The following is a 3,366-nucleotide window of genomic DNA, read 5'->3' as shown; positions in this document are numbered from 1 at the left end:
GACCAATCAGCACTCCCTACTCCATAGCCCCCTGCCCACCAAACTACCTTCAAAAAAGCCTAGCCTCTGAAGTTTTGAGGAGGCTGATTTGAGTAATAATAAAACTCAGGTTTCCTGTTTAGCCAGCTCTAGTATATTAAACTCTTTCTGTATTGCAGTTCTCCTGTCTGAATGTCAGCTCTAGCTGGGCAGTGGGCAAGAAGAACCCATTGGGCAATTACAAAGAGGGAAGTAAGACATGACTGCTGTCACATTTCAATGCCTTTCTGGGCCTGATAATTTAAAGGGGCTCACATTTCTCAAAGCCAACTTATCCCAATCTTGCCAACCACAAGTTTTGTAGCAGTTACGGAAAACAAAAACTACAACCTGGGACAAGACCAAAGTCACATACCCCTCTGTTCTCATTGCTGTATAACAACTCCATTCCTACTTTGGTTCAGGGAGTTACCTAATTTTGAGGTGCTCCCTGATGAACATTGACTGAATAAAGCCTTTGACCTCTATTTGAGATCACTTTAACAATTTTTTTCTTGACAGTTTAATGCTGTGACTTAGGATCTGGATGAACCCTGGATCCCACTGCAGTTTCAGAGGAGGAGAGACTGCATTGAGGGATCTTTGCTTCCTCCTTTCTTGGGGACTACTGTTGGGTTGAGAGGTAAATAATGTTCCTGATTCTGTGCTCAGGTTTTTTTCTTGTAACACAGAGGTTTCAGGCTTCCATTCTTTGAAAGGATTAACTTATTGTCTGATAGGTCACTGCATCTATTTTCCTTTTGTCTTTTTGGGATTCTCTGGGCAAGTGGATGATTAGATGATGGTCCTAAGGTAGGACAAGGCCCTTCTCCCTTCTTCTATCTAGTACTTCCTTTATTGGGAAACAATCTACCCAACTTTCTCCTTCAATGGACTCCCACTGGGCACATGTTCTGCCAATGTGGTCCTAACTATTAAATTTCTAAGTTGTGGGACTTCAGGAAAGGCAATATTGGAATCTTGCAACAAGTCAAAACTTGTATATTTGCAAAGTGCCTTGGAATAAAAGAAGATAAAATAGCTAACTTACAATAGGTAGCTTTATTTAATTGGTAAGAAGAAGCCAAGTAAAGAAACAATTCAGGCAGACTCTAATCTATGGTCTCTCCAAAACAACTTCAACTTTCTCCCCACAAAGACCTCCTCCTTTTGGTCTAGCTCTGTTTCTGCCTCTTATAATCCCAGTCCCTTCTTGCTGCCCTGCTTTCCTGCTCCTTGCCCTCCTTTCTGTGCCCTTCTCCTCCTCTTCCTACCCTTCCCCATCTCCCTCTCATTTTTAGATGCAGGCCTTCATCAGCTCCTTCCCAAGCAGTTCCTGACCCCAATCCAATACCTCAATCACAAGTGACCTTCAAACCCTGGTTGTGAGCTGACCTTTATGCCATATTAAAGATTTCCCAAATCCTCAAAAAGAAATAAATGTATTGAGCTATTTTGGGGGCTTATGCTCCTGAGCTCCTTTATCTGTATCTTTCAACACATCTTTCAATAGAACCAGGAGATCCCTGAACCTGGTTTGACAAGGCCAACTGGCCTCTATAAATAAGGATCAAACTAACCTTATAGAAATAACACCCTCTCTGTATATGTAAAAGGCCTAGAAATAAGAGAACATTTTAAAAAGACCGTTTCTGAAGTTTTTCTCCTTTACATGGACTGGGGAATCATCCAGTCCTGTCAATAAGGGCATGATAAATCTGTCTCTAATATTAGTGACTGATTAAAACCACTCGGACCTGTGATATCCACCTTTATTTGGTTAATGGCCTTAAGCCTGAAATGTAAGCTGCTGCTCAGAAGCATAAAATAGGCTTGCAGATCATGCCTATACATGAATTACAACACTTACCCCAGCATTTTGGGGATAAAATGATAAATAAAGAGAAAACCTCACACCGCAAACTTATGGCATTGTAGCTTAAACAGCTTAAGGGAAAAAAGGGCCTACCACAGATACAACACAGTTTCCTGTCTGTCCTCTTGGGACCCTAACTTCTCAATGTGTCATTCTTTTTAGTCCTTTCATTCTCTTCCTTCCCCTCAACCTATTAGGTTGGGACCTTTTGGGTTGAGAAAATAAGTAATTCAAAATATAAACTGTTGGAACTCTAAATTATTTTGAGCCTTAAAGGAATGTGATTATGGAGCCTGAGTCATGTGACAGCCAGCTGTAACCAGGGCAGCTGTACATTTTGTTTCTGTGATTATAGATTAAACCTTCTTCTTCACCTGCATTGTTTTGTAAAATGTTGTAAATGACCAAAGGGCACCAGAGAAGACCCCCTTCCCTCTGTACTGTTGGTCTTCGTTGTAGATTAACCTCCCTCTTACCTTTCTCACACAAAGATTTAATGGCTATCACATTGTCTTAAGATGGAATGTTAAATATGCTCTTTTAAATTGGAAAGGAAATGAAAACCAGCTGTAAAGAAAAGAAAACAAGCCATAGGAAAAAGAAAACAGACTGTAACTAACTAACTAATTTGTTGTAACTCTTAAACCAGCCTTGTATAGAAAACTTGTAACCCTGTTTAATTTCTTTGTGTTCTGCATATATAAGCAAGAACCTAACTTTTAACTTTGGAGCACTGACCCCATTTCTCCGGAGCCTCTGTCTCCTGAATGGCCATTTCCAGCTTTCCCGTTGAATAACCTCTTTAAAACTGGTTTCTGATCCTTTCAGTTATTTTAGGTAGACAGGCTAAATAAAGTGCCACTATTAGATGGTCACACATGTGAAGGACTTTTTCTTGATCTCCTTGACTAGGATGACCAAATACATCTTATGATGGCTTCCCTTGACTGCTCGGCACTCTTGTGTTTCCAACTGTCTTACCCTTAGAATCGCCTCAATTTTCTTATTTACTTTCCTCAGTCCCCAGTATCCTCTGGGTTGTATCATCTACAAATGTGAGAAAAAGGATATAGAAGCCTTATGAGATCCCACAATGCCTCTTCCTGAATTGTTTCAGTATCTCCTAAAGCCCAAAGCACCCAGAGAAACTACAACCCACTGTTGCAGATTTACTCATTCCTTGTACCAGTCCTTGCAGTATTCCTGTCCTACTGGAAAAAAATCCTAATGACTTTATGCAAGACTTAAGAGCACATAGTGTAACCATGTTTCCCTGGCCTCTGTACCTGCACATTCAACACACTTCACAGTAATAATTCTCAGTTCAACCTTCTTCCTTAACAGAAGACTTAAAACAGACTTTCTTGAAACTCTTCTGAAGCAGATGACAACACAAAGGAGATAGCTTTCCCCAAGAAGATGACAGAACAAGACTCCATATCAATTTTATTATCTCTCTTTTCATACTAGCC

The 3,366-nt window shown here is 40.3% G+C and overlaps 1 annotated feature.

Moving 5' to 3' along the window:
* Positions 2,113–2,614: an enhancer, noted in NCBI's record as "NANOG hESC enhancer chrX:46114084-46114585 (GRCh37/hg19 assembly coordinates)". NCBI's record gives its function as "activates a minimal SCP1, AML or CMV promoter by ChIP-STARR-seq in naive H9 embryonic stem cells {active_cell/tissue: H9 hESC(naive)}" and the evidence as "EXISTENCE:reporter gene assay evidence [ECO:0000049][PMID:30033119]".

Source organism: Homo sapiens, chromosome X (genome assembly GCF_000001405.40).
Source record: "Homo sapiens chromosome X, GRCh38.p14 Primary Assembly".
NCBI lineage: Eukaryota > Metazoa > Chordata > Mammalia > Primates > Hominidae > Homo > Homo sapiens.
Note: the sequence above shows the minus strand (reverse complement) of the source record. Positions and strands in the feature narration are given on the sequence as shown.